Source organism: Homo sapiens, chromosome 4 (assembly GCF_000001405.40).
Source record: "Homo sapiens chromosome 4, GRCh38.p14 Primary Assembly".
Lineage (NCBI taxonomy): Eukaryota > Metazoa > Chordata > Mammalia > Primates > Hominidae > Homo > Homo sapiens.
In genome coordinates this window covers 1982612-2010177 of record NC_000004.12, presented here as the reverse complement: position 1 = coordinate 2010177, position 27566 = coordinate 1982612, and the positions used below count along the sequence as shown (strand labels likewise).

General features: G+C 51.4%; 2 protein-coding genes and 1 non-coding gene across 4 annotated transcripts in view, besides 6 other annotated features; all 3 read left to right on the top strand.

The window, feature by feature from the left end:
• Positions 1-1172, top strand: part of LOC124900839 (uncharacterized) — a 32909-nt gene extending 31737 nt beyond the window's left edge. Inside the window, exon 4 of the mRNA XM_047416543.1 lies at positions 5-1172. Coding sequence (XP_047272499.1) covers positions 417-1172 — 756 coding nt within the window. The 5' untranslated portion in view covers positions 5-416. The remainder of the gene's footprint in view (positions 1-4) is intronic.
• Positions 454-833: a silencer, noted in NCBI's record as "silent region_15152". NCBI's record gives its function as "represses an Ori minimal core promoter by ATAC-STARR-seq in GM12878 lymphoblastoid cells {active_cell/tissue: GM12878}" and the evidence as "EXISTENCE:reporter gene assay evidence [ECO:0000049][PMID:35858748]".
• Positions 894-1413: an enhancer, noted in NCBI's record as "active region_21163". NCBI's record gives its function as "activates an Ori minimal core promoter by ATAC-STARR-seq in GM12878 lymphoblastoid cells {active_cell/tissue: GM12878}" and the evidence as "EXISTENCE:reporter gene assay evidence [ECO:0000049][PMID:35858748]".
• Positions 894-1521: a biological region, named in NCBI's record as "H3K27ac hESC enhancer GRCh37_chr4:2010384-2010884".
• Positions 1021-1521: an enhancer, noted in NCBI's record as "H3K27ac hESC enhancer chr4:2010384-2010884 (GRCh37/hg19 assembly coordinates)". NCBI's record gives its function as "activates a minimal SCP1, AML or CMV promoter by ChIP-STARR-seq in primed H9 embryonic stem cells {active_cell/tissue: H9 hESC(primed)}" and the evidence as "EXISTENCE:reporter gene assay evidence [ECO:0000049][PMID:30033119]".
• NELFA (negative elongation factor complex member A) lies at positions 1204-27455 on the top strand. Of its 2 annotated transcripts, XM_017008589.3 has the most exons (12): positions 1204-1428; positions 2132-2215; positions 18463-18634; positions 20309-20470; positions 22171-22260; positions 23776-23906; positions 23995-24064; positions 24314-24402; positions 25259-25370; positions 26065-26330; positions 26483-26582; positions 26675-27455. In XM_017008589.3, the coding sequence occupies exons 1-12, from the start codon at positions 1219-1221 to the stop codon at positions 26857-26859; spliced, it is 1671 nt and encodes a 556-aa protein (XP_016864078.2). In that variant the 5' UTR covers positions 1204-1218; the 3' UTR covers positions 26860-27455. The 2 variants fall into 2 exon arrangements, with proteins under 2 accessions (XP_016864078.2, NP_005654.4); NM_005663.5 differs by lacking the exon at positions 2132-2215.
• Positions 11659-12158: an enhancer, noted in NCBI's record as "H3K4me1 hESC enhancer chr4:1999747-2000246 (GRCh37/hg19 assembly coordinates)". NCBI's record gives its function as "activates a minimal SCP1, AML or CMV promoter by ChIP-STARR-seq in naive and primed H9 embryonic stem cells {active_cell/tissue: H9 hESC(naive and primed)}" and the evidence as "EXISTENCE:reporter gene assay evidence [ECO:0000049][PMID:30033119]".
• Positions 17531-18370: an enhancer, noted in NCBI's record as "H3K27ac-H3K4me1 hESC enhancer chr4:1993535-1994374 (GRCh37/hg19 assembly coordinates)". NCBI's record gives its function as "activates a minimal SCP1, AML or CMV promoter by ChIP-STARR-seq in primed H9 embryonic stem cells {active_cell/tissue: H9 hESC(primed)}" and the evidence as "EXISTENCE:reporter gene assay evidence [ECO:0000049][PMID:30033119]".
• Positions 23701-23794, top strand: MIR943 (microRNA 943). The gene has a single exon (NR_030641.1). It is a non-coding gene; the product is annotated as a microRNA 943 (primary transcript).

The following is a 27566-nucleotide window of genomic DNA, read 5'->3' as shown; positions in this document are numbered from 1 at the left end:
TCAGTTTAAGCAATCAACAAAACCACCGCTCCAGCACTGATTTGTAGCATTTGCGGGTTTCCCCCGTGTGACTTCCGCAGGACTGCCAAGTTCAAGCCGCCAGGGCCAGGGCACTGCTAGCAGCTGGGCTGAGCCCTGTTCTCCCGGCGTTCCCACCGCCCAGTGGCAATAGCTGTGAACGGCGGCAGGAGCATGGCAGTGGAACAATAAGGAAAAGATCTTTTAAAAAAAAGATATAATACAGAAGCCAAGCAAGGCGGCCCCGACCTGTAACCCCAGCACTCTGGGAGGCAGAGGCGGGCGGGCGGATCGCTTGAGCCCAGGAGTTTGAGACCAGCCTGGCCAACATAGGAAGGCCTCGTCAAAAAGACAAAAGGGTAAAACGAATTTAATAAAATGAAGTTTAACTTTTACTCATGTTTGTATCTAATGACAAGCTTTTAAAACTGAAAAGTTCACTACTGGCTCCTGCCTGGCGGCTCCAGCCCGACTGGGGGCCGGGGCCTCCCTGCACTGTGGGGTCACGAGTGCCCCTGGACAGCTCCCGAGCGCCCTCCGACCCGCATGCTCAGCGCAGCCCCGTCGGCGGCGCGCCACGGGCAGAGCGGGCTCAGCGGGGGACGGAAGCTCAGCGCTGCGACCGGGATCCCGCAGGCTCGCTCCGCAGGGCCGCGGCTCCTCTCCGTGCAGGTGCTGGGCCCGCGGGGGCGGGGCGTCCACACGGTCCGCGCCGAGACCCAAGCGGGGAAAAAGCGAAGAGCGGACAGCGGGGCAGGTGCCACAGGGAGCCTCCGCCCCACCGCGCGAGCAGCAAGTCTGCGGCGCTTGACACCTGCACTGCGAATGCCAGGCCGCAGCCCGGGCTCCCAAGACGCGAATACGCGCGCCTGCTCGTGACGTCATTTTTTGCGGTCTTCCCGAGAGCCAGCAGAGGGCGCCGCCATGATGTTTTACGGAAGCCGATAGTCCTTGCTCAGCGGCACCCCGTCCTTCCGGCTCTCGGCTTTGCCACAAAGCTTCCCGAAGACGCGGCCGCTACCCGGAGACGCGGTCGCCACCCAGAAGCGCTCTCCCGGGAAGCCCCGCTCGTGGGACCGCGCCACCTGCGCCGCCTCTGCGGCCCGCAGCCCGACGGGCGCCGCCATGTTGGGGTCCTAGCGAGGGACGCGTAGGTGTCTTCATAAGATGCCGGGGCAGCGGCGCGCGCTTTCCCCCAAGATGGCGTCCATGCGGGAGAGCGACACGGGCCTGTGGCTGCACAACAAGCTGGGGGCCACGGACGAGCTGTGGGCGCCGCCCAGCATCGCGTCCCTGCTCACGGCCGCGGTCATCGACAACATCCGTCTCTGCTTCCATGGCCTCTCGTCGGCAGTGAAGCTCAAGTTGCTACTCGGGACGCTGCACCTCCCGCGCCGCACGGTGGACGAGGTAAGGCAGGCGTGGCGCCCCGCGGCCCCCAGATTCCCAACCTTCCCACCTCCGACCCGCACACCCAACTCCGGACCCTCCTCGCTCCCTCCCCCAACCTTCCCATCCCCCTTCAGACTGTTAACCCCCCCGGCCCGCCCTCACGCCCCCTCCTCGCTCCTCCGAATACCTCCCTCCAGTCCTCACCTCCCCCTGGGTCCTCATCCCCCGCCTCGATCCTCATCTCCCACCTCGGTTCTCATCCCCACCGTGGGTCTTCAGGACCCCCCGCCCCTCCTCGCCCCCTGGGAATCCCCCACTAGGGTCCTCACCTCCCTACTTTTCGTCCTCACCCCTACCCAAGTTTTCACCTCCCCTGGGATCCTCAATCTCCTCCCCGCCGGGCCCCGGGTTCTCGCTACGACCCCCAGGTCCTCACTCCCCTCCCTGGGCCCCCGGGTACTCATCCCCACCCGCCCCCGCCTCCCCCGCCTTCGGTCCTCACCACCCTAATCCCCCACCGTGCCGAAGCGACCGACTCTTGGAGCGGGGGTGCGCCGGCCCCAGCGGGGTCTCCCATCGGGGTTTCCCGTCGGGGACGCAGCCCTGGTGACCTGGGCGAGGGCGGGGATCCCGAGAGAAACCCCCGCGTGAGGAAGGGGCGGCCTGGGCTCGGTAGCTCCAGTGTCCGCTGACTGGATTTTCTTGTTCTCACCTCGCAAAGACCCCGGCCGTCCGGAGCGCTCTGTGTCCGTTTTACTCTTTTCTACACGCCGTTTTGCGTCATTCCAATAAGTGGGTGTGTGAGGTTTGTTTTCTTTTTTCCTAAACTTTATATTGTATCGCTTTCCGTGCGAAATAAACCGAGTAGTTTTGCAGACTATTGAAGCCCCATGGTTGTTTAAACGTTCCTGGCTACTGATGTATTATTAGCTATTATAGGTTGTAATTGCTTTTGATTGAGATATGACATGTATGGAAAAGTGCATTTTTGTTCAGTTTAACGAATAATAATAGCATCGCGAGCCACTCCTGTGATCCTTACACAGGTGGAGAAGTAGAACCATGCCTGTTCCTTGGAAGCCTCCCACTGGTAATCACGGCCTTCTTCCTTTCCCCTTCCTCATTTTGGAAAGGTAATCATTTCTGTGCCATCTCCCCGGTGTGAGCAATTATTTATGCACCCCTAAATGGCACAGCTTGGTTGCCGGATTTGGAGTTAGTGTGATGGTATCATAGTGTATTTTGTGTGTGGCGTGCATGTGTCTTTTTGGTCGACGCCGTGACAGTTTCATCCACGTTGCAGCTGACTGCAGTTTAATTTTCACTGCTGCGTGGTATTCCTGTCTGTGAGCACGAGGCACTTTATCCATTCTGCCACAGTGACACGCTTAGCTTTTGTGCTCTTGTAAATCATCCCGTTACTACATTACGGTCATATGTTCAGGTGTTTGGAATCTTGGATTTCTCTAGGGTATAACATCTAGGAGTGGAATTGTGAGGATCATAGGATCATGCCAAATTATTTTTCAGAGTGTTTTGTTTTTGTGTTTGTGTTTTGTTTGAGACAGGGTCTGGCGCTGTCAACCAGGCTGGAGTGCAGTGGCACCATCGTGACTCACTGCAGCCTTGACCTCCTCACCTCAGATCTTCCCATCTCAGCCTCCTGAGTAGCTGGGACTACAGGGTTTCACCATGCTGCCCAGGCTGGTCTTGAACTCCTGACCTCAAGCAATCTGCTTGCCTCAGCCTCCTGAAGGGCTGGGATTACAGGTGTGAGCCATGGCACTCGGCCTGCTGTTTGGTTTTCTGCTTTGAGAATTGTATATTCAAATCTGCTTTTAAATTCTCTTTTTTCCCATTGTTTTGTAAGAGTGTCTTTTTTATTATTTATTATAAATGCTAGATATCAGTCCTTTTTCAGTTACAAATATCTCCCAGTTGTCCTTTGACTTTGACTTAGCTTCCTGGAATCCTTTTTTTTTTTTTTTTTTTTTTTTTTGAGACAGCGTCTCACTCTGTCACCCAGGCTAGAGTCTAGTGGTATAATCATAGCTCACTTTAACCTTGAACTCCTGGGCTTAAGCAGTCCTCCCTCCTAAACCTCTGTAGTAGCTGGGACTGATGCGCTGCCACCACGCCTGGCTAATTTTTGTGCATGTGTATGGAGATGGGGGTCTTACTGTATTGCCCAGGCTGGTCTTGAACTCCTAGCCTCAAGTGATCCTCCTGCCTTGGCCTCCCATAGTGTTGGGATTACAGGTGTGATCTGTGCGCCCAGCCCTTTTCCTGGAATCATGGATGAATAGAAGCTCCTAGTTTTAACATAGATGGTGTATTCATCCGCCCACTATCATTGGTGCCTATTGTGTCTCCCCGAGGGACATGCCCGGAACACTCCCTGGGTTATCTTGGCGTAGCTGTACAGTTTTACCTTTCGCACTTGAATCTTCAGTCTGCGTGGAATTGATGATTGTGTGAAGCAGGGAGTCTAATTTTCCACATGGATGTGCAATTAGTCCAGCACCCAACGTTGATTGAAATGACTGTCCTTTTCCATTGATCTGCACTGCAGCTTCTGCTGTGGATGTGTTTCTGGGCTGTGCTCTGTTCTTTTGGTCATTTACATATCGATGTGCTAATAACCCACTAAGTCGGTTCTTGTCACTTTATTTATAAGCCTTGTTAGCGGACGGAGCAAACCCTCCCACTGTATCTTTCTCCGGGATCATCTATGGCTATTCTTGTCCCTTCACACTTCCACATGTATCTTATATACTTACTTCTTAAACACGTAGAGCCTGCCTGCTGGGATTTTAAGGCTGAGCTGAACTTGCAGTTCATTCTGGGGTGCTGTCCTCTTTATATTGCATCCTATAATTTGTGGGTGTGGGCTTATCTATTTAGATGTTCTTTGTGATCTCTGTAGGGGTCTTCCATCTCATATATTACCACCTATTTCATATTTTTCCATGCCGTTGTAAATGGTATCTGTTAAAGTCTTAGTTTTTACTTGTTGCTGGTATATAGAAATGCGTTGATTTTTGTTTTTGTTTGTTTGTTTGTTTGTTTGTTTTTTAGACGGAGATCTCACTCTCTCACCCAGGCTGGAGAGCAGTGGCGCGATCTCAGCTCACTGCAACCTCCTCCTCCTGAGCTCAGGTGATTCTCCTACCTTAGCTTCCCGAGTAACTGGGATTACAGGCATGCACCACCACACCTGGCTAATTTTTGTATTTTTAGTAGAGATGGGGTTTCACCATGTTGGCCAGGCTGCTCTCGAACTCCTGACCTCAGGTGAGCCACTATGCCCAGCCTGATTTTTGGATAATGAATTTGTGACTAGTATCTGTGCTAAAGTTTTGCTAGTTGCAAAATTTTTTTTTTCTATAGAATCTCCTTGATTTTTCTGTGCACTTCATATTATTTTTCTTTCTCCAATTACCTTTTGTTTTTTTTCTCGTCTCACTGGACTGGCTAGGACCCTCCAGCTCATTGTCTTACCTCCGATCACACAGGGAGAACTCGGAATGTTTTGCCAGTGAGCATTATGTTTCCTGTTGTCTTTAATAAATACCCTTTATCTAGTTAAGGAAATTCTCTTCTTAGAAGACTTGTAAAAAAAAATCTTTTAATCATGAATTTTTTTAAAATAGCTTTATTGGCTGGGTGCAGTAGCTCACACCTGTAATCCCAGCACTTTGGGAGGCCGAGGCGGGCGGATCACGAGGCCAGGAGATCGAGACCATCCTGGCTAACATGGTGAAACCCCGTCTCTAAAGAAAAAATACAAAAAAATTAGCCGGGCATGGTGGCAGGCGCCTGTAGTCCCAGCTACTAGGGAGGCTGAAGCAGAAGAATGCCGTGAACCCAGGAGGCAGAGCTTGCAGTGAGCTGAGATCGCGCCACTGCACTCCAGCCTGGGCGACAGCAAGACTCTGTCTCCAAAAAAAAAAAAAAAGCTTTATTAAAATATAATGTATAGCTGGGTGCAGTAGCTCATGCCTGTAATCTCAGCACTTTGGGAGGCCAAGATGGGCGGATTGCTTGAACCCAGGCATTCGAGATCAGCCTGAGCAATATGGTGAAACCCTGTCTCCATAAAAAATATAAAAATTAGCCAGGGGTGGCGGCACATGGCTGTGGTCCCAGCTACTTGGGAGGCTGTGGCGAGAGGATCACTTGAGCCTGGGAGGTTGAGGATGCGGCGAGCCATGATTGCATCACTGCACTCTAGCCTGGCCGACAGAATGAGACCCTGTCTCAAAAGAAAAAAGATATTATTTTATGTACCATATAATTATGCCAGGTAGTTCACCATTTAAAATGTACACTTCAGTAGTTTTTAGTATATTTACAGGTTTGATGGTCATGCTAGTCAATTTTCAAACATTTTCATCATCCCCCAAATAAATCCTACACTCATTAGCATTTGCCCAGTCCTCTTCCTCCCCACTCCTAGGTGACTAGTAATCTACTTTTTGCTTCTATAGATTTGTCTATTCAGGATATTTTATATAAATAGAATCATACATCTGGTCTTTTGTGCCTGACTTCTTTCACTTAATGTAATGTTTTCTTTTTTCTTCTTCTTCTTTTTTTTTCTTTTTTTTGAAACAGAGTCTTGCCCTGTCGCCAGGCTGGAGTGCAGTGGCGCGATCTCGGCTCACCACAACCTGCGCCTCCCAGGTTCAAGGGATTCTCCTGCCTCAGCCTCCCGAGTAGCTGGGACTAGAGACACGCGCCACCATGCCCAGCTAATTAGCTAATTTTTGTATTTTTAGTGGAGACGGGGTTTCACCGTGTTGGCCAGGATGGTCTCCATCTCTTGACCTTGTGATCCACCTGCCTTGGCCTCCCAAAGTGCTGGGATTACAGGCATGAGCCACTGCTCCCGGCCTTTATTTCTTCTTTAAAAAAAAAAAAAAAAAAAGGATGCATATGCAGAACATGCAGATTTGTTACATAGGTATACGTGTGCCATGGTTTGCTGCACCTATTGACCCGTCCTTTAAGTTCCCTCCCCTCACTCCCACCCCTATTAGGCCCTGGTGTGTGTTGTTCCCCTCTCTGTGTGCATGTGTTCTCAGTGTTCAACTACCTGCCACTTATGAGTGAGAACATGCAATGTTTGGTTTTCTGTTCCTTTGTTAGTTTGCTGAGGATGATGGCTTCCAGCTTCATCCATGTCCCTGCAAAGGACAGGATCTCATTCCTTTTTATGGCTGCGTAGTATTCCATGGTGTATATGTATCACATTTTCTTTATCCAGTCCATCATTGATGGGCATTTGGGTTGGTTCCATGTCCTTGCTATTCTAAGCAGTGCTGCAGTAAACATACCTGTACGTGTGTCTTTATAGCAGAATGATTTATATTCCTTTGGGTATATATCCAGTAACAGGATTGCTGGGTCAAATGGTATTTCTGGTGTTAGATCCTTGAGGAATCGCCATGCTGTCTTCCACAATGGTTGAACTAATTTACACTCCCAGCAAAAGTGTAAAAGCCTTCCTATTTCTCCACAGCCTCGCTAGCATCTATTGTTTCCTGACTTTTTAGTAATCACCCTTCTGACTGGCGTGAGATGGTATCTCATTGTGGTTTTGATTTGCATTTCTCTGATGATCAGTGACGTAGAGCTTTTCTTCATGTTTATTGGCCTCATAAATGTCTTCTTTTGAGAGGTATCTGTTCACCTCCTTTGCCCACTTTTTGATGGGGTTGTTTTTCTCTTACAAATATGTTTAAGTTCCTTGTAAATGCTGGATATTAGCCCTTTGTCAGATGAGTAGATTGCAAAAATTTTCTCCCATTCTGTAGGTTGCCTCTTCACTCTGATGATAGTTTCTTTTGCTGAGCAGAAGCTCTTTAGTTTAATTAGATCCCATTTGTCAATTTTGGCTTTTGTTGCTATTGCTTTTGGCATTTTTGTCATGAAGTTGTTGGCCGTGACTGTGTCCTGAATGGTATTGCCTAGGTTTTCTTCTAGGATTTTTATGGTTTTGGGTTTTACATTTAAGTTTTTAATGCATCTTGAGTTAATTTTTGTATGAGGTGTAAGGAAGAGGTCCAGTTTCAGTTTTCTACATATGGCTAGCCAGTTTTCCCAGCACCATTTACTGAATAGAAGATCCTTTCCCCATCGCTTGTTTTTGTCAGGTTTGTCAAAGATCAGATGCTGGTAGATGTGTGGTGTTATTTCTGAGGTCCCTGTTCTTCTCCATTGGTCTGTAGGTCTGTTGTGGTACCAGTACCATGCTGTTTTGGTTACTGTAGCCTTGTAAGTGTAGTTTGAAGTCAGGTAGCGTGATGCCTCCAGCTTTGTTCTTTTTGCTTAGGATTGTCTTGGCTATATGGGATCTTCTTTGATTCCATATGAAATTTAAAATAGTTTTTTCTAATTCTGTGAAGAATGTCAATGGTAGTTTGTTGGGAATAGCATTGAATCTGTAAGTTACTTTGAGCAGTATGGCCATTTTCATGATACTGATTCTTCCTATCCACGAGGATGGAATGCTTTTCCATTTGTTTGTGTACTCTCTTATTTTCTGTTTTTTCTTTTTTTTTCTGAGATGGAGTCTCGCTTTGTCGCCCAGGCTGGAGTGCAGTGGCGCGATCTTGGCTCATTGCAAGCTCCGCCTCCCGGGTTCACGCCATTCTCCTGCGTCAGCCTCCCTAGTAGCTGGGACTACAGGCGCCCGCCACCATGCCTGGCTAATTTTTTGTATTTTTAGTAGAGACAGGGTTTCACCGTGTTAGCCAGGATGGTCTCGATCTCCTGACCTCATGATCCGTCCGCCTCGGCCTCCCAAAGTGCTAGGATTACAGGCATGAGCCACCGTGCCTGGCCTTTTTTTTTTTCTTTTGAGACAGAGTCTCGCTCTGTCGGCCAGGCTGGAGTGCAGTGGCACGATCTCGGCTCACTGCAACCTCCGCCTCCCTTGCTCAAGCAGTTCTCCTGCCTCAGCCTCCCGAGTAGCTGGGATTACAGGCTTGTGCCACCACGCCCGGCTAATTTGTGTATTTTTAGTAGAGATGGGGTTTAACCACGTTGGCCAGGCTGGTCTCAAACTCCTGACCTCAGGTAATCTGCCTGCCTCAGCCTCCCAAAGTGCTGGGATTACAGGCGTGAGCCACTGCACCCGGCCCCTCTCTTATTTTCTTCAACAGTGGTTTGTAGTTCTCTTTGAAGAGGTCCTTCACATCCCTTGTTAGCTGTATTCCTAGGTATTTTATTCTCTAGTGATTTTGAATGGGAGTTCATTCATGATTTGGCTCTCTGCTTGCCTATTAAAATCACATTGATTTTGTATTCTCGGACTTTGCTGAAGTTGCTTATCAGTTCAACAAGTTTTTGGGCTGAGTTGATGGGGTTTTCTAAATATAAAATCATGTCATCTGCAAACAGAGACAACTTGACTTCCTCTCTTCCTATTTGAATACTCTTTATTTCTTTCTCTTGCCTAATTGCCCTGGCCAGAACTTCCAATACTATGTTGAATAGGAGTGGTGAGAGAGGACATCCTTATTATCTTGTACCAGTTTTCAAAGAGAATGCTTCCAGCTTTTGCCCATTCAATATGGTATTCGCTGTGGGTTTGTCTTAAATAACTCTTAATATTTTGAGATACGTTCCATTAATACCTAGCTTATTGAGAGTTTTTAACATGCAGGGATGTTGAATTTTATCAAAGGCCTTTTCTGCATCTGTTGAGATGATCATGTGGTTTTTGTCTTTGGTTCTGTTTATGTGATAGATTATGCTTGTTGATTTGCGTATGTTGAACCAGCCTTGCATCCCAGGGATGAAGCCACTTGATCGTGGTGGATAAGCTTTTTGATGTGCTGCTGGATTCGGTTTGCCAGTATTTTATTGAGGATTTTCACATTGATGTTCATCAGGGATGTTGGCCTGAAGTTTTCTTTTTTGTTGTCTCTTCCCAGTTTTGGTATCAGGATGATGTTGGCCTCATAAAATGAGTTAGGGAGGAGTCCCTCCTTTTCAATTGTTTGGAATAGTTTCAGAAGGAATGGTGCCAGCTCCTCTTTGTATTTCTGGTGGAATTCAGCTGTGAGTCCGTCTGGTCCTGGGCTTCTTTTGGTTGGTAGGTTGTTACTGCCTCATTTTCAGAGCTTGTTATTGGTCTAGTCAGGGATTCGACTTCTTCCTGGTTTAGTCTTGGGAGGGTGTATGCACCCAGGAATTTATCCATTTCTTCTAGATTTTCTAGTTTATTTGTGTAGAGGTGTTTATAGTATTCTCTGATGGTAGTTTGTATTTCTGTGGGGTCAGTTGTGATAGCATCTTTATTATTATCATTATTATTATTTGGTGTCTATTTGATTCTTCTCTCTCTTCTTTATTAGTCTAGCTAGCATTCTGTCTATTTTGTTAATTTTTTCACAAAACCAGCTCCTGGATTTGTTGATATTTTTTGGGGGGGAGGGTTTTTCGTGTCTCTATGTCCTTTAATTCTTGTCTGATCTTAGTTATTTCTTGTTTTCTGTTAGCTTTGGGGTTAGTTTGCTCTCTTGCCTCTCTGGGTCTTTTAATTGTGATGTTAATTACATCTCTGGGTCTTTTAATTGAGATCTTTCTAGCTTTCTGATATGGGCATTTAATGCTATAAATTTCCCTCTTAACACTGCTTTAGCTGTGTCCCAGAGATTCTGCTACATTGTCTCTTTGTTCTCATTGGTTTCAAAGAAATTCTTGATTTCTGCCTTAATTTCATTATTTGTCCAGGAGTCATTCAGGAGCAGGTTGTTCAATTTCCATGAAATTGTGTGGTTTTGAGTGAGTTTCTTAATCTTGAGTTCTAATTTGCACTGTGGTCTGAGAGACTGTTATGATTTCAGTTCTTTTGCATTTGCTGACTTCCAGTTAATTACATGGTCGATTTTAGAGTAAGTGCCACGTAGCACTGAGAAGAATGTATATTCTGTTGATTTGAGGTAGAGAGTTCTGTAGATGTCTACTAGGTCCACTTGATCCAGAGTTGAGTTCAAATCCTGAATATCCTTGTTAGTTTTCTGTCTCGTTGATCTAATATTGACAGTGGGGTGTTAAAGTCTCCCCCTATTATTGTGTGGGAGTCTAAGTCTCGTTGTAGGTCTGTAGGAACTTGTTTTATGAATCTGGGTGCTCCTGTATTGGGTGCATATATATTTAGGATAGTTAGCTCTTGTCGAATTGTTCCCTTTACCATTGTGTAATACCCTTCTTGTCTTCTTTGATCTTTGTTGGTTTAAAGTCTGTTTTGTCAGAAACTAGGATTGCAACCCCTGTCTTTTTGTTTGCTTTCCATTTGCTTGAAGTTTCCTCCATCCCGTTATTCTGAGCCTGTGTGTGTCTTTGCGTGTAAGATGAGTCTTCTGCATACAGCACACCAATGGGTCTTGACTCCTTATCCAATTTGCCAGTCTGTGTCTTTTAATTGGGGCATTCAGCCCATTTACATTGAAGGTTAATATTGTTATGTGTGAATTCGGTCCTGTAATCATGATGGTATCTGGTTATTTTGCACACTAGATGCAGTTTCTTTGTAATGTCATTGGTCTCTATATTTTGGTGTGTTTTTTCAGTGGCTCGTACTGGTTTTTCTTTCCATATTTAGTGCTTCTTTCCAGAGTTCTTCCGGGGCGGGGCTGGTGGTAACAAAATCCCTCAGCATTTGCTTGTCTGAAAAAGATTTTATTTCTCCTTCACTTATGAAGCTTAGTTTGGCTGGATATTAAATTCTGGGTTGAAAATTCTTTTCTTTAAGAATGTTGAATATTGGCCCCCAAACTCTTCTGGCTTGTAGAGTTTCTGCAGAGGTCTGCCATTAGTTAGTCTGATGGGCTTCCCTTTGTAGGTGACCTGGCCTTTCTCTCTGGCTGCTCTGAACAGTTTTTCCTTCATTTCGACCTTGGAGAATTTGATGATTATGTGTCTTGGGGTTGATCTTCTCATGGAGTGTCTTAGTGGGGTTCTCTGTATTTCCCAAATTTGCATGTTGGCCTGTCTCTAGGTTGAGGAAGTTCTGGATAATATCCTTAAGTGTGTTTTCCAGCTTGTTTCCATTCTCCCCGTCTCCTTCTGGTACTCCAGTCAGTAGTAGGTTTGGTCTTTTTATGAAATCCCGTGTTTTTTGGAGGCTTTGTTCGTTCCTTTTCATTCTTTTCTCTCTATTGTTGTCTGCATGTCTTATTTCAGTAAGGTGGTGTTCAAACTCTGATATCCTTTGTTCCGCTTTGTGGATTCGGCTGTTAATACTTGCGGATGACTCATGAGGTTCTGGTGCTGTGTTTTTCAGCTTCATCAGGTCATTTATGTTCCTCTCTAAACCGGTTATTCTAGTTAGCAATTCCTCTGACCTTTTATCAAGGTTCTTAGCTTCTTTGCATTGGGATAGAACATGCTCCTTTAGTTCATCATTGTTTTTTTTTTTATTACCCATCTTCTGAAGCCTACTTCTGTCAGCTCGTCCATCCAATCCTCCGTCTAGTTCTGCGCCCTTTTTGGAGAGACATTGTGATCATTTGGAGGAGAAGAGGCACTCTGGCCTTTGGGGTTTTCAGCATTTTTTCGTTGATTCTTTCTCATCTTCGTGAGTTTGTCTAGTTTCAGTCTTTGAGGCTGCTGACCCTTGGATGGGGGCTTTTGTTGTGGTTGTTGTTGTTGTTGTTGATGCTGTTGTCGTTTTCTGCTCGTTTGTTTTCCTTGCCGTAGTCATGTCCCTCTTCTGTAGGGCTGCTGCAGTTTGCTGGGGGTTCACTTCAGGCCATATTCATCTGATTCACTCCCATGCCTGGAGGTGTCACTAAAGGAGGCTGCAGAACAGCAAAGATGGGTGCCTGCTCCTTCTTCTGGGACCTCTGATCTCGAGGGGCACCAACCTGATGCCAGTAGGGTCACTGCTGTATAGGGTGTCTGACAACCCCTGTTGGAGGGTCTCACCTAGTTGGGTGACATAGGGAGCAGGACCCATTTAATGAAGCACTTTGTCCCATGATGGAGGGAGTGTGCTTCAGTGGGGGGAAACCACTTGTCTGGGCTGCCCAGGTTATTCTATATTTAACATTTTGAGAAATTGCCAAACTATTTTCCATAGTGGCTACACCATCTTACTTTCTCCATAGTGATTTTCGAGTGTTCAGTCTCTCACATCCTTGCCAACATTTGTTATCTTTTTGATATAGCGATCCTAGTGGGTGTGAGCACAAAGGAACTTTAAATTTTATCAAATGCTTAAATATCTATTGACATGTAATTCACCACATTAACAAAATAGCTTTAATTATAAACCAACCTTGCATTCCTGCGGTAAACCTAAATTGGTCATTTTATGTTGTTAGATTATATCATCCTGATGTTTTGTATAGGAATTTTGTACTATATCTTTGTTCTTGGGTGAGATTGACCTGTAGTTTTACTTACCCAGACTGTCTTTGTTGGATTTTGGTATTGGGGTTATGCTACCCTTAAAAAAGGATTTGTAATGTATCTGGTCTTTTCTTTTTCTTTGGAAAGTTTGTTTACTAATGGAGTGATTTCTTCCTAAATATTTGGTAGAACTTGGTAATGAAGCCTTCTGGACCTGAAATTTACTTTGTGGGAGGATTTTTCAGTATTGATTTTTGTTTTTATGGGTTTTGTTTTTTTTGTTTGTTTTAATGCATAGTGTCACTGTCACTCAGGCTGGAGTGGCAGTGATGTGATCATAACTCACTGTAACCTTAAACTCCTAAGCTCAAGTGATCTCCTGCCTCACCTTCCTGAGCAGCTAAGACTGCAGGCATGCACCACCATACCTGCCTACTTTTCTTTTTTTTTAAATTTTTTGTAGAGAGAGTGTCTCAAATACCCTTCTGTCATCGAGGCTGGAGTGCAATGGTGCAATCTTGGCTCACTGCAACCTCCACCTTCCAGACTCAAGTGATTATCGTGCCTCAGCCTTCTGAGTAGCTGGGATCACAGGCGTGTGCCACCATTCCCGGCTAATTTTTGTATTTTTAGTAGAGACAGGTTTTTGCCACGTTGGCCAGTCTGGTCTCAAGCTCCTGACCTCAAGTGATCCACATGCCTTGGTTGACCAAATTGCTGGGATTACAGGCATGAGCCAATATGACCAGCTCAAACATCTTCTTTTTAAATGTCAGAAGCATGTATAGTGATTATTTCTTATTTTTTCCCCCTTGATCCATCTCACCAGATGTTTGTTGATTTTATAAGAATTTTCAAACTACCAGCTTCTGGCTTTGTTGAACTTGGATTTCTGTTTCACTAATTTTCTTTCTCCTGTCTTTGTACTTACTTTGTTGCTCTTTTTCTAAGTTTTAAAGATGGATGCCAATCTCAGGCTTCTTTTCGTGTGTGTATGTGCGTATGTCCATAAATTCTCTTCTAATTACAGTGTAAGCCGCATCCCACAAGTTTTGATAGTCACAGAACTGTATCGTCACACTATTTTTTAATTTCAGTAAGTTCTTCACTGATCCCTGTGTAATTTAGAAATGTTTCATAATTTCCCTACATTGGAGGGGAAGATAGTTTTGTTTTTATTATTAATTTCTAGCTGTATTGAGCTCTTGTCAGAGAATATGGTTTATTTTAGTCGTTTGAAATTTAAGATCTGCTTAATGGCAAAATGTATGGTCAGTTTTTGTAAATGTTGCCAGTAAGCTTGCGAATCATATGTACTCTAGTTTTGAAATCCATTGCTCAGTGGATGTTCATTAGGCCAATTTGTATAATCATGTTGTACAAATCTATTCTATTCTTAACTGTTTTTTGTTTTAAAGGTGTGGGGTCTTACTATGTTGCCCGGGCTGGACTCAAATTCCTCAGCCTCCCAAGTATCTAGAACTACAGGCACGTGCAGCTTGGTTTAAAAAAAAAAAAAAAAATCAGTGAGAAGAGGATTTGTTGATCTCCCCGTTAGGATTATGGGTTTGTCTGTTCCTCCTTCTCAGCTTATGCTGTATATATTTTGGGGCTGTGTTATTAGGTGCATCCAAGTGTATAGTTGTTATAGTTACCATGTGAGCTCAACCTTGGATCTTTACATAGAGATTCTCTGTATTTAGTAATGTTTTGTTCTTAAAATCTGCTTCCATCTAACATTAATATAAATGTACCAGCTTTATTTTATATGTATGTTTCTTGGACTTTGTCTTTATGTATTACAAGAAATTGTGATAAAGACCTCATTTAACTGGATTGTGAAAGGACTAGGCCATTCTGGGTCATTTACTTTTCTGAAAAATATTTTTATTTTCTTGGTATTTAAAAAAAGGTTTATAAGACATTCTAATTTATCTTAGTTTTCTTCCTTCATTTATTTAGGGGTCTGGTATCTTAGGGATATCATTCTGAAAATTAAACTTTTCTACATAGGACCATAGATACAGGGTGACTAGATGACTGGGCTGGATGTGTTCCACAGTGTATCAGTCAGGGTTCTCCAGAGAAACAGAACCAAGAGGGTATATAGACACATACATGCACACACACCAGGAGAGCCAGTGATGTAAGCCCTGAGACTCAAGACCCAGGAAGAGCTGATGTTTCAGCCAGAGTCTGAAGGCTGGAAAAGACCAATCTTCCAGCTCAAACAGGCAGGAGTTCCCCTTACTCAGCATTTTTGTTCTGCTTTGGTTTTCAGTTGATTGGATGAGACCCACTCAGCAGTAGGGAGGGCCCTCGCCTCACTCAGTACAATTCAGATGTTAGTCTTATGTAGAAACATCCTCACAGACACACCTGGAATCATGAGGGACTAACTGTCCAGGTGCCCCATGGCCCAGTCAAGTTGACACATAAGGTTAACCTTATGCATGGCATCTGCTACAACTTGTGTTTCTGAATGAAATTCTACAACCAGTTCACTGGTTTTGTAATGTGTCTTTTTATTTTTAATTTTTTTTTTTTTTTTTGAGACGGAGTCTCACTCTGTTGCCCAGGCTGGGGCACGCAATCTCGGCTCACTGCAAGCTCCACCTCCCGGGTTCACGCCATTCTCCTGCCTCAGCCTCCCAAGTAGCTGGGACTACAGGTGCCCACCACCACGCCCGCCTAATTTTTTGTATTTTTAGTAGAGGCAGGGTTTCACTGTGTTAGCCAGGATGGTCTCAATCTCCTGACCTTGTGATCCGCCCACCTCAGCCTCCCAAAATGCTAGGATTACAGGTGTGAGCCACCATGCCCGGCTTTTTTTTTTTTGACAGACTCTTGCTCTGTTGCCCAGGCTGGAGTACAGTGGCGCCATCTTGGCTCACCAGAATCTCTGCCTCCCAAGTTCAAGCAATTCTCCTGCCTCACCTTCCCCAGTAGCTGGGATTACAGGAGTGCACCACCATGCCTGGCTAATTTTTGTATTTTCAGTAGAGATGGGGTTTCGCCATGTTGGACAGGCTGATCTCGAACTCCTGACCTCAAGTGATCCACCCGCCCTAGCCTCCCAGAGTGCTGGGATTACAGACGTGAGCCACCGTGCCCAGCCAATTTTTAATTTTTTTAAGAAATGAAATCTTGCTCTGTTGCTCAGGCTGGAGTGGAGTAGTGCCATCTTTGTTCACTGCAGCCTTGAACCCCTGGGCTCAAGTGATCCTCCTGCCTCAGCCTCCCGAGTAGCTGGAACCACAGGCGTGAGCCACTATACCCGGCCCTATTCCTCTGAAAAGCTTAGTAAACAGCAGTTCTTTATACCAGGGAAGAGGAAGAGACATTTTAATGATGTGATAGTTTATTCAGTGAAGAGTACAGAAATGAGTTAGGGCCCCTGCTCTCTAAGAATTACAGACCTTACAAGGTAGGCCTGGGCCGGGCGTGGTGGTGGCGCCTGGATTCCCAGCACTGTGGGAGCATGAGGCAGGAGAATCGCTGGACCTGGGAAGGCGGAGGTTGCAGTGAGCCGAGATCCTGCCATTGCACTCCAGCCCGGGCGACGACAACAGCGAGACTCTGTCTCAAAAAAAAAAAAAAAAAAAGGCCCAGGGGAGCTCGTTCCCACCTTCCACCAGCAAAAGGCACCTTCCATGAAGCTGGAAGGGGCCCCCACCAGGCGGGGAATCCACCAGCGCCTTAATTGATCTTGGATTCCCACCTCCAGAACCGTGAGAAGTAAATTTCTGTTGTGTGTAAGCCAAGCATTTTCTTTTTTCTTTCTTTCTTTTCTTTTTCTTTCTTTCTTTCTTTTTTTTTTTTGAGATGGAGTTTCGCTCTTGTTGCCCAGGTTGGAGTGCAATGGTGCGATCTCAGCTCACGCAACCTCCGCCTCCTGGGTTCAAGCGATTCCCCTGCCTCAGCCTCCCAAGTAGCTGGGATTACAGGAATGCGCTACCACGCCCGGCTAATTTTGTATTTTTAGTAGAGACAGGGTTTCCCCATGTGGGTCAGTCTGGTCCCCAACTCCTGACCTCGTGAGCCGCCCGCCTCTGCCGGCCGAAGTGCGGGGTCTACAGACATGAGCTACCGCGCCCGGGAAAGCCAAGCGTTTTCCTACAAGAAGCCCCAGTAGAGCGAGCCAGGCTTCAACATGCGCGTTCTGGAGAGAAAACATTGACTCCACAACAGTGGTCCTTTTTGTTTTAAATTAACATCCCCGACTTTTTTTATCCTTACCATTTTTATAAAATGCCGCGCGCTTGCCTCTTGGCAGGCGTAGGGTTTCCCTGGGGCTGCTGTGGAGAGGCCGCACTGGCTGGAAACAGCCGGGCTGTGCGGCTGCCAGAGGCAGCGTGTGCGCAGCGCTTCCTGCAGCCACGTAGCATCTTCTGCCGCATCGCGCACTCAGCTCGGGCGGGCGTCGGGAGTGAGGGCCCGGGGCGCAGGGTCAGCGGCCGGGGCGACACCCTCCCTGGTTGCCCAAGGAACAGAAGGGGCTGGGCCACGCGGGGGGTTCTTGACTCCTGAGGGCAGCTGGGTGTCCTGCAGGGCAGATGCAGAGGGGCTTGGCAGCAGGCAGGCTCCCCTGGCACGACCTCTGATCTCTGCCCTTCGAGCCAACTTCCCTCAGGGCAGGAAGCCCATGAGGACAGTGAGGGAAGCGCTGGAAGGTCCTCCCACTCAGAGGCCACCAGGAGGCGGCGCTCGCGGGGACGTGATGGCCGCAGCCCTCGTAGGACGGGTCTCTGGCGCCTGACGCAGGGAGTGGGTGTCAGGAAGGCCTGGGGCTGGGGTTTCAGCCCCGGCGTCTGGACAGGGCAGGGCGCTGTTGTTCACCCCCAGCGCCAGCCAGCCCAGCTGTCTCACACTGTGAGCAGCCCAGTGGGCGCATGGCAGAGGCACAGGCACGCCATGGCCTGGCTCTCTGCGTTTCCTCGTGGGAGGGGGTTTATGTGGCCGAAGCAGGCCCTGGTGTGGATGGATCTGGCCTCCCAGGTATTGAGGGAGCACGGGGTGCGCCTGCTTCCTCCACGCACGTCGCCCATGGCCTCCCCAAGGCCCTGGCCTCACTCCAGATCCCGGGGCCACCTCCAGGCTCCACGAGCGCCAACTCCCAGCGCCGTCCAGACCCAGAGGCAGCCGTCCCTGCCTAGATGGTGACTAGGCACCAGCTCAGCTGTCACGGGTGCTGCCCCAGGTCCCAGGCCCCACCCCCTGCTGCCCAGGCACACACCCCCGCGGCAGGTGACTCCACCCTGCTCCTGCGCTCTGCTGTGCCGGGCACCTGCCTGCTCTACGCCCCTCATCCCCAGGATTTCCCACCCGCAGGCTTTCTGCGGGAGCAGTGGTGGCCCCGGCTTCTCACCCTTCAGGTTTTCTTGCATCTGCGCACCGGTGGAAGAGTAGGCCCAGTGGACTGGGTGCTGCTGGGAGGTGGGAGGCTGCTGGGAGGGCACCGGATGCCGGGGCCTTGCAACCTGGCAGAGGCTGTGCTGCTCAGGGAAGCAAGGTGGCCCTGGGGTGAGGCGGGGGGCTCAGAGGAAGGGGAGCCCTCAGGAGGAAGTGTTGGGGGCAACTGCCAGAGAGCCCGGCCACTGCCCAGTGCCCATCCGGAAGCTCAGCAGGGAGTGGGCTTGGAAGTGGGCAGGGGCATGGTGGCGCCGGCAGCATCCTATTTTGCAGATGAAGGGCGCCCTAATGGAGATCATCCAGCTCGCCAGCCTCGACTCGGACCCCTGGGTGCTCATGGTCGCCGACATCTTGAAGTCCTTTCCGGACACAGGCTCGCTTAACCTGGAGCTGGAGGAGCAGAATCCCAACGTTCAGGATATTTTGGGAGAACTTAGAGAAAAGGGTATGTTGTGCTGCTTTAATTCATGTTGGGTGGAGGGAAATGGATCTTTCTTGAAAAATTTTTTTCTGAAATGAATTTGATTTTTAGACCTTTACGTTTTTCCGTGTGTCCTGGTCCCTAGAATATTAACTGTATATGCACCATCCTCCCCCGTAAGCTGCTGCCTGGCTTTTGCCATCTTTGAAAACAAACTCCAAACAGCCCACAGGCCCCATCCTCACTGCTGCGGTGTCAGTGGGAGGCTGTGTCACGCCACTCGCCGTCTCTCTCTGGTCGGCTCCGTGAGGGTAGGGGCTCTGCCCATTCAGGTGGTATCTGTAGATCCTAGGTTCTAGGGCCCAGAGCATTCCCTGGCCCAGAGTACATGCTCAGAAATGCATGTTGAAAATATCAACGATTTAGTTGTTTAAATGTGAACTGAAAGTCACTTAGAAAATATTCACAAGGCTGGGCTCCGTGGCTCACTCCTGTAACCCCAGCACTTTGGGAGGCTGAGATGGCCAGATTGCTTGAGCCCAGGAGTTCGAGACCAGCCTGGGAAACATAGCAAGAACCCATTTGTACAAAAAATAAAAATTAGGTGGGCGTGATGGCACATGCCTGTCCTCCCAGGTACTTGGGAGGCTGAGTCAGGAGGATCACTTGAGCCTGGGAGGCCAAGGCTGCAGTGAGCCATGATCGCGCCACTGCACTCCAGCCTGGGTAACAGGGTGAGAATGTATCTCTTAAAAGAAACAACTATTTGTAGATGGATTTGAAGAACATGTCTTGATGGGATGCTTGATGCTTGTGCTTTTCTGAGTTTCTCTCCTGCTTTGGACAATTGGAACTGGCTCCTCAGAGCCCAAACGTTGTGCCCCAGCTCCTTCAAGGGCAGCACCCAGAGAGACAGGGTTGTGGGATGGAGACATCGAGGCTGCACACTCCTGCAGGGGCCCTGCTGGCCACCCCCCTGCAAGTGGCACCTCTCCCCACCTGTGAGGTCACACACACCACACAGATGCCTCTGGAGCAGTGGTCTGGACAGGTCCACCCCACCCCACCCGTTCGTGTCTCAGGAGTGTCCCGCGGGCAGGAAGGCTGAGGCCGGTGAACTCTCATGTGCCTGCCTGTGCTTTTTCTCCAGGTGGGGCACGTAGCCAGTTCAGGTGGGAGGTCGCCTGTCCCTCGTGGGGCAGTTTCTGGGATCTGAACCGTGGGTGAGCACACAGGCTGAGGAAATGGATGTGGGCAGTTTGGATGAGGGCCAGGGTTCCAGGAGAGACCACCAGCCTGGCTACCCTCGGGGACGGGAAGAGAGAAGCCACAGATCGGGGGTCCTTCTTACGTGGGGGTGGGATCTGTTAACATTTCATGTTCTACAAGTGTCTGGAGCCCTCCAGGAATCACTGTATCTATGTCCGCCTGTGGTTCTTGGTGTCCGCGGTGCCAGAGGTTTCCAGTTTACAGCCCTCTCAAGGCATGCCCGCCTCTCAGGCATTCCTGTTCTGCAAATGCTCCTGGGTGTTCTGCTGGAGCCGTGGGGAGTCAGTCTCGAGGACCTCAGGGGACAGCCGAAGCTCCCATGACCTAACCCTAACTGAGGAGGGTGTGGGGCTGGGCAGCCGCCAGCTCCTCTCAGCCGGGAGGTCTGCGGCCTGGGCGCCCCTAACTTCATGTGGTTCTTACCGGCAGTGGGTGAGTGTGAAGCGTCTGCCATGCTGCCACTGGAGTGCCAGTACTTGAACAAAAACGCCCTGACGACCCTCGCGGGACCCCTCACTCCCCCGGTGAAGCATTTTCAGTTAAAGCGGAAACCCAAGAGCGCCACGCTGCGGGCGGAGCTGCTGCAGAAGTGTGAGTGGCCGCGGCCGCCATCGGGCATTGTCTTTGTAGTTTCCAGTCATAGGTTTCTTAGGTTCTAAGGTACCAAGACTGCCCCTTCAAGGTGGCGTTCTGGGCCAGGCATGGTGGCTCACACCTGTTGGGAGGCTGGGGCAGGTGGGTCGTTTGAGCCCAGGAGTTTGAGACCAGCCAAGAAACCCCATCTCTACCAAAAGTACCAAAACATTAGCCGGGCATGGTGGTGCGTGCCTGTGCTCCCAGCTACTCGGAAGGCTGAGGTAGGAGGATCACCTGAGCCCACGAGGTTGAGGCTGCAGTGAGCTGTGATCACACCACTACACTCCAGCCTGGGAGAGAGTGAGACCCTGTCTCAAGAAAAAGAAGATAAAGTTCTGCATAAAGTTTTTTGTTAGAAGTTTATCACTATATTAAACTTTATGTTCTGAAAACATGCTTTAAAAACTTCAGAATTTAGGCTGGGCATGGTGGCTCACACCTGTAAACCCAGCACTTTGGGAGGCTGAGGCCAGCAGATCACCTGAGGTCAGGAGATCGAGACCAGCCTGGCCCACATGGTGAAACCCCGTCTCTACTAAAAATACAAAAATTAGCTGGCTGTGGTGGTGCATGCCTGTAATCCCAGTTGCTTGGGAGGCTGAGGCAAGAGAATCACTTGAACCTGGGAGGCGGAGGTTGCAGTGAGCCAAGATTGCCCCACTGCACTCCAGCCTGGGCAACAAGAGCGAAACAACATCTCAAAAAAAAAAAAAAAACCCACCAACTTCAGAATTTTAGGTGAAGGCATCTCTAATCTCTGTGACCAAATGAACTCTGTGCCAGCTGAGTCACGCTGTTGGGCACGGTGGGTGCCAGGGTGAATGGCTGGAGGGGCACGTTCCTTACTCTCACGTTGCTGCCTTCTGGAGTGGCGGGTGATCTCAATTCCACTTGAAAGATATTTAATCATTTCAGTTAACGTTTTCCCAAAGCACGACAAAGATTTCAATAACATCGTTTTATTTTGAATGGTTATGGAATTAATATTTATAATGTACATCAATACCCCGTTTCCAGAGAATCCAAATAAAAGGCTGACAGCAGCTGTGCATGGATCTTGGCTGGAACGGGCAGCAGCCAGGGCCCAGCGCTGTCCGGGAGGCTCCGTGCAGCCCCGGGCCCACTGGGTAGCCCAGGAAGGACTCTGCTGGCCCCTTGGGCCCCACCCCCTTTGGAGGCCAGCAGTGGCCACAGGGTCTGCTTTGGGCACTCGGTGTCCCCTGACCCTTCAGCCACACTGAACCAAGTCAGGAATATCTCTTCGTTTGTTTCTTCCTCATATTTTTGTATCTAGACCGTGCCTGCTGACCCTCAGCGAGGACGGTGCTACCACTGGGCCAGGGGGAGGCCCGGGTCGATGGAGAGGGCTCATGAGGTCCCTCAGCTCCTCCTCGGCTGCCTCCCCCCTGCCATGGGGTCCTGGGAGGTGCAGCCACAGCCACCCAGCTCCCGAAACTTGCTCACCTGAGTGAGTTTCTGACTCGTTGTAAAGTGCGAGCTGGTGTCAGGCCCGGCTCGGAACAGCTGCTCATTTAGAGAGAATGCAGCGTTCACGGCTCAGGCCGTCGGATGAATCCACTTGACAGAGATGTTTTTACAAGGGCCAAGGGCTCTCGCTCTGAGGATCCCTGACATATGTGACCTCTTCCTTCCAGCCACGGAGACCGCCCAGCAGTTGAAGCGGAGCGCCGGGGTGCCCTTCCACGCCAAGGGCCGGGGGCTGCTGCGGAAGATGGACACCACCAGTAAGGCCCCCACCCTGGTGCCGTGAGCCTTGCTTTTGGGGCAGAGCTAAGGGCTTCACCTGGAGACCCGCTCCCTGTTGGGGAGGTGGTGCCTGTGAATGGTCTTCAGGCAGCAGTGTTGGGAGCCCGTGGGAAAGCGAAGGCACTGGGGCAATTTCACCGGCTTCTCCCCTTGGGGAGCTCCCTGGGAGGATGTGTGGGCACGGAGACAGGAGGGCCGGGATCTGAGGACAGTGCTGGGCACGGAGACAGGAAGGCCGGGATCTGAGGACACCGCTGGGCATGGAGACAGGAAGGCCGGGATCTGAGGACAGTGCTGGCCCCTGCTCCTCTGCTGTTGGCACCGGTGGCTCTCGGCCTTCCCAGCTCGGGCTTTCGGCCCCAAGTGCTGCTCTTGGGTTCCGAGTGTCCCTGGGCGGCTCCGCGGGGAGGACGTGACCGTGCTCAGCTGCCCGTGGGGCTGTGCCCCCCGCACCCCTCCATCTGCCCTTCCTGATTTGTGCTCTCAGGGCTGGGCGTGAGCTTAAGCAGGATGCACCCTGATCACAGGAAGACGGCGTGCCCCTGGGAACCATGGCAGGGCATACTCACCCCAGAGGGTGCTGGATAGTGACCTGGGGGCCAGAGGGCAGGACGGGTGTCGTCCTGTGCTGAGACAGCTGGGTAAACTTGCAGATGGGTGGGGCTGAAAGGGCAGCCTTACAGGCGCTCTCCATGCAGCTCCCAGACCAGCCTGGCTTAGTTTATTTGGGCTCCCATAATCCCACAGTGTTCACATGGGACCTAGTAGAAGGCATCTTGGGTCTGCTGACTATTGTCGCTGTGTGGGGGGCCGTCCCTGGGTCATGTTCCTGCCCACCGCAGCCGAGGTTCCACCTTGCTCTCCTCTACCCCGCCTGGAGCAGACCCTTGTCTTTCCACCCCCACCAGGCATCCCAGGGCCAGGGCTGCACCTGCTGGCCCAGGGAGGGTGGGCCAGCCGTTGAGCAGTGTGTCCAGCCTGGCCCGGTGTGCTGATGGCACCATCCCCCGGGCGTCCTCTCTCCGGGCCTGGCACCATGAGAGCCACGCACGCCTTGGAGGGTGCGTGTGGGCGCTGGTGGGTAACAGCGTAGGTAGGCCTCAGGAGTGTCCTCAGGGGACGGGGAGAAGGCTTGGGAGGGCGGCCCTCAAGCCCAGGCGCCTGGCTTCATGCCCCTGCCGGTGGAGGCACAGGAAGGAGGCAGAGCTCAGCCCCCGCCACACTGGTGAGAGACTCCACCTGGTGAGATCCTGTGGCTGGGCTGGGGTGCCGCTGTCTTTGTTTGGTGTCTTGGCAAAGTGTGAGGTCGTGGCTCCAGGCGTTCCCCTGCTCCTTGAGGTCCGGGATCCTGGGGGTCCTGCCCGCTGCCCGCCAGGGGTTTGGCCCTTCCCCTCTGCGGCGCTAGCCTAGAAGAGGGTGGGACGTTCTGAGCTCGGGGTGGGGGACGTTTGCCGGTCACTGCTGCTGGCGCCCTGACTGTTGCCGTCCTCCAGCCCCACTCAAAGGCATCCCGAAGCAGGCGCCCTTCAGAAGCCCCACGGCGCCCAGCGTCTTCAGCCCCACAGGGAACCGGACCCCCATCCCGCCTTCCAGGACGCTGCTGCGGAAGGAACGAGGTGTGAAGGTAGGCCCGTCCCCCAGCTCCTGTGGCACCCCGGGGCCCGTTGCGCCCTGGTGCCGTCACTAAGGCAGGGCTGTGCTTGTCTTGGCAGCTGCTGGACATCTCTGAGCTGGATATGGTTGGCGCTGGCCGAGAGGCGAAGCGGAGAAGGAAGACTCTCGGTGGGGGTTGGGGCCTGCGTGTCGGCGGCAATGGGGGTCCCTGCGGGCCCTGCCCAGTTGGGGTGGGTTGTGCCCACGCTCGGCGGGCAGGGCTGTGCCCCGTGAGGCTGCTCTCCGTGGGTGGGTGCCTGCTTTTCTCCTCGCTCCTTGGTGGCCTCCCCTGGGAAGCTGTTTGATTCCCTGCCGCTGCCCTGAGCTGACACTGCAGACGCGCCCGGGCACTGGCGAGGACTCCTGTTTTGTCCACAGATGCGGAGGTGGTGGAGAAGCCGGCCAAGGAGGAAACGGTGGTGGAGAACGCCACCCCGGACTACGCAGCCGGCCTGGTGTCCACGCAGGTAGGGCTCGGGGCTGCACCCCATGTCTGGCACCACTGCGGGTGCCCCTTTTGTTCCGATTGTGGCCACTAGTGTGCTCTGTCGGAGAATATATATATGTATGTACATATGTGTGCAGTCTGTATTTATGTATATATACGTATATGTACATGAGAGGCAGTGTGGGCCGTGCCCTGACATGGGCATCTGACTCAGGCTTGGAGCGGGAACCTGCCCCACGCTTGCTGGAGGGGCTGCCAGGGGAGTCCTCCTCAACCCTGTGCCTCAGTGTCCCGTCAGGCAGGGCTGGTGGGACCTAAGCCTTGCACGTGGCCGTGAATGGGTGCAGGACAGGCCTGTGGGGGTGCTGGGTGGTCAGAGGCCTCAGTGTCCCGGAGACCAGGCCCTGCCTGCGGGTGGGAGGCAGCCACGGGGCGCGGCAGGTGCACAGAGGCTGCAGTGGGTCGTCTGAGGCCAGGGCCTGGAGGAGGCCACACTGTGGGGTCACTTCAGGATAATAAGCTCCTTTCTTCCCGCCGCTGCGTGTTCTGTGTTTCTTAACATGAGCATCTTCCTTTATATCAACGCTTCGTGGTAAGAAAAAGCATCGCTCCTTCTGTGCTCAAGATGGGCTGTTTGGGCTCCTCAACCCCTCCCCTCTCCTACACAGGAGCGGCTCAGTCCCCAACTCTGCTGGGGCGCCAGGGGCCAGGGGTCCCGTTGTCTAGCCCAGGGAGCTCGGGAGAGTGGCCCCCGCCTTCCTGCTCTAGCTCGGGGGGCCACAGCCTGTGGCAGTGGAGCTCCGGGTCGGGCCATGTGTTAGCACATGCCGGAAGCATGGCCTCTTCTGGAAGGAACCTTAAACTCTGTGTTCCAGAAACTTGGGTCCCTGAACAATGAGCCTGCGCTGCCCTCCACGAGCTACCTTCCCTCCACGCCCAGCGTGGTTCCCGCCTCCTCCTACATCCCCAGCTCCGAGACGCCCCCAGGTGAGTCTGCTGGCCCCAGCCTGGAACCAGCCAAGCTGCCTGCCAGGACATGACCTTGCCCACGGGCGCTGCCAGGGCTGCGGTTCTCACTCCTGCATCTCTGTTGTCCCCCTTCTGCCTCAGCCAGAATCTGCTGGGGGCAGATGCCCCGCTGTTCAGCTTGAGCTCCAAGACATAAACCAGCTGCTTTGCCCCACCCTGCCCGTCCTGGGCACAGACAGGCAGCGGCCCCAGGGGACACGGCAGGAAGGGGATTGGGTTCGAAAGGGTTTTCTGCCAGGTGACCCAGCTCTTGTTGCTGGGTAGGCGGGAGGGGAGCTGAGAGCCATCCCCTCCCAGACGGAGGGCACTGCCAGGCTCACAGCACCTCAGGCCAGGTCCTGGGCCCAAGGGGCTTGAGGATACAGCCTTCCTGTCTTCCCAGCAGTGCCTACGGTATGGGGACCTGCTGCAGGCCAGCAGCTGGCCAGAGTCCAGACATCTTATCTGCGAGTCTGGAAAGGCCTGAGACCACTGGCCTTGTTCCTCTGGCTGGGGCTTCTGGGGCCTGTGCCTTGGCTGGGGGCCACAGGGAGTTCTTGTCAGAGGGTAGCAGGACAGAGAAGGGGAGCTGAGCCTGTCACCTCCAGGAGCACTAGGGTTTGGGAACAGGGTGGGGGTCCAGCCCCCTCACCAGGCCCCGGTCTACTTGCAGCCCCATCTTCCCGGGAAGCCAGCCGCCCACCAGAGGAGCCCAGCGCCCCGAGCCCCACGTTGCCAGCGCAGTTCAAGCAGCGGGCGCCCATGTACAACAGCGGCCTGAGCCCTGCCACACCCACGCCTGCGGCGCCCACCTCGCCTCTGACACCCACCACACCTCCGGCTGTCGCCCCTACCACTCAGACACCCCCGGTTGCCATGGTGGCCCCGCAGACCCAGGCCCCTGCTCAGCAGCAGCCTAAGAAGAACCTGTCCCTCACGGTAGGTGTACACTGGTAGGGCCCACAGGCCACCAGGTAGGTGGTACGGCCCTGGCCACCTCCCCTAGCGTGGGGGTGCCACGGTGCCTGCAGGGGGATGCAGGAGGTGGTCCTGGCGGGGCCCTGGCACCCACACCCCTCTCCCCGCTGTAGAGAGAGCAGATGTTCGCTGCCCAGGAGATGTTCAAGACGGCCAACAAAGTCACGCGGCCCGAGAAGGCCCTCATCCTGGGCTTCATGGCCGGCTCCCGAGGTATGTTCATAAGGCAGGGCCTGGGGGTGCACCGGGCCGGGTTGGGGGCGGGTGCCCCCAGACACCCACCCAGCAGCTCCTGCTCTCTGCAGAGAACCCGTGCCAGGAGCAGGGGGACGTGATCCAGATCAAGCTGAGCGAGCACACGGAGGACCTGCCCAAGGCGGACGGCCAGGGTAGCACAACCATGCTGGTGGACACAGTGTTTGAGATGAACTATGCCACGGGCCAGTGGACGCGCTTCAAGAAGTACAAGCCCATGACCAATGTGTCCTAGAACCACCTGCCTCACAGCTGGCCGTCACTTGTGGGGGTCCACGGGACGATGGCTTTGCCAGCTTAAAGTAACCGGATGGCGGACACCTGGCCCCCGAGGTCCCCCGGCCGCCGCCCTGCTGCTGACCCAGCCTGTTTTAAGTTCTGGATGCATTTCTCTGGGGTATTTGGGGCTTATTTTTAAAATTTTAATATGGGTTCTTTTTTGTGTGATTTAAGACACTTTTTGGACTCAACGTTACATTTTTGAATGTAGTAAGTAAATTAACCAAAAAAGTTACAACTTCCTAATTTTAGTGACAGCTCTGCCTGTTAGACTCTTACTTTTTAAAATCTTTTCTATTTTCCCTCGCTGGGGCAGTGCCCTCCTACCCCCAGGGTTGAGGGGACCAAGGTGGCACGGTGGTACTGGGGGTGCGGCAGGGACACCCGACCACACCAGAGCGTGGGAGACGGTGGGCCTTGTCCCCTGCCTGTGCCTGCCTGGGAGTTTTGTATTCATCTTTTGTATAGTTGTGGACATTTAAGACAGTCTTTGGGTACCTATTTTCATTGTAAAACTATCTGAACCATTAAAGTCGAGCTTTTCTAAAGAAAGCCACCATAGCTGTGTTTGGGGCCAGCTTGTCCTCCCTGCTCCGGGGACCCAGTCCCTCCCTAGGCGGCCATCAGGACGGGGTGGGCCAGGGCTGGGGGCTTCCTAGGACA

Bases quoted from the DNA above. Each gene is read 5' to 3' on its own strand.
- NELFA (XM_017008589.3), top strand. From the start codon at position 1,219: ATGGCGTCCATGCGGGAGAGCGACACGGGCCTGTGGCTGCACAACAAG. The intron at 2,216-18,462 runs GTTTGTTTTCTT...CCTATTTTGCAG, and splicing joins CCAATAAGTGGGTGTGTGAG to ATGAAGGGCGCCCTAATGGA. The intron at 26,583-26,674 runs GTATGTTCATAA...TGCTCTCTGCAG, and splicing joins CTTCATGGCCGGCTCCCGAG to AGAACCCGTGCCAGGAGCAG.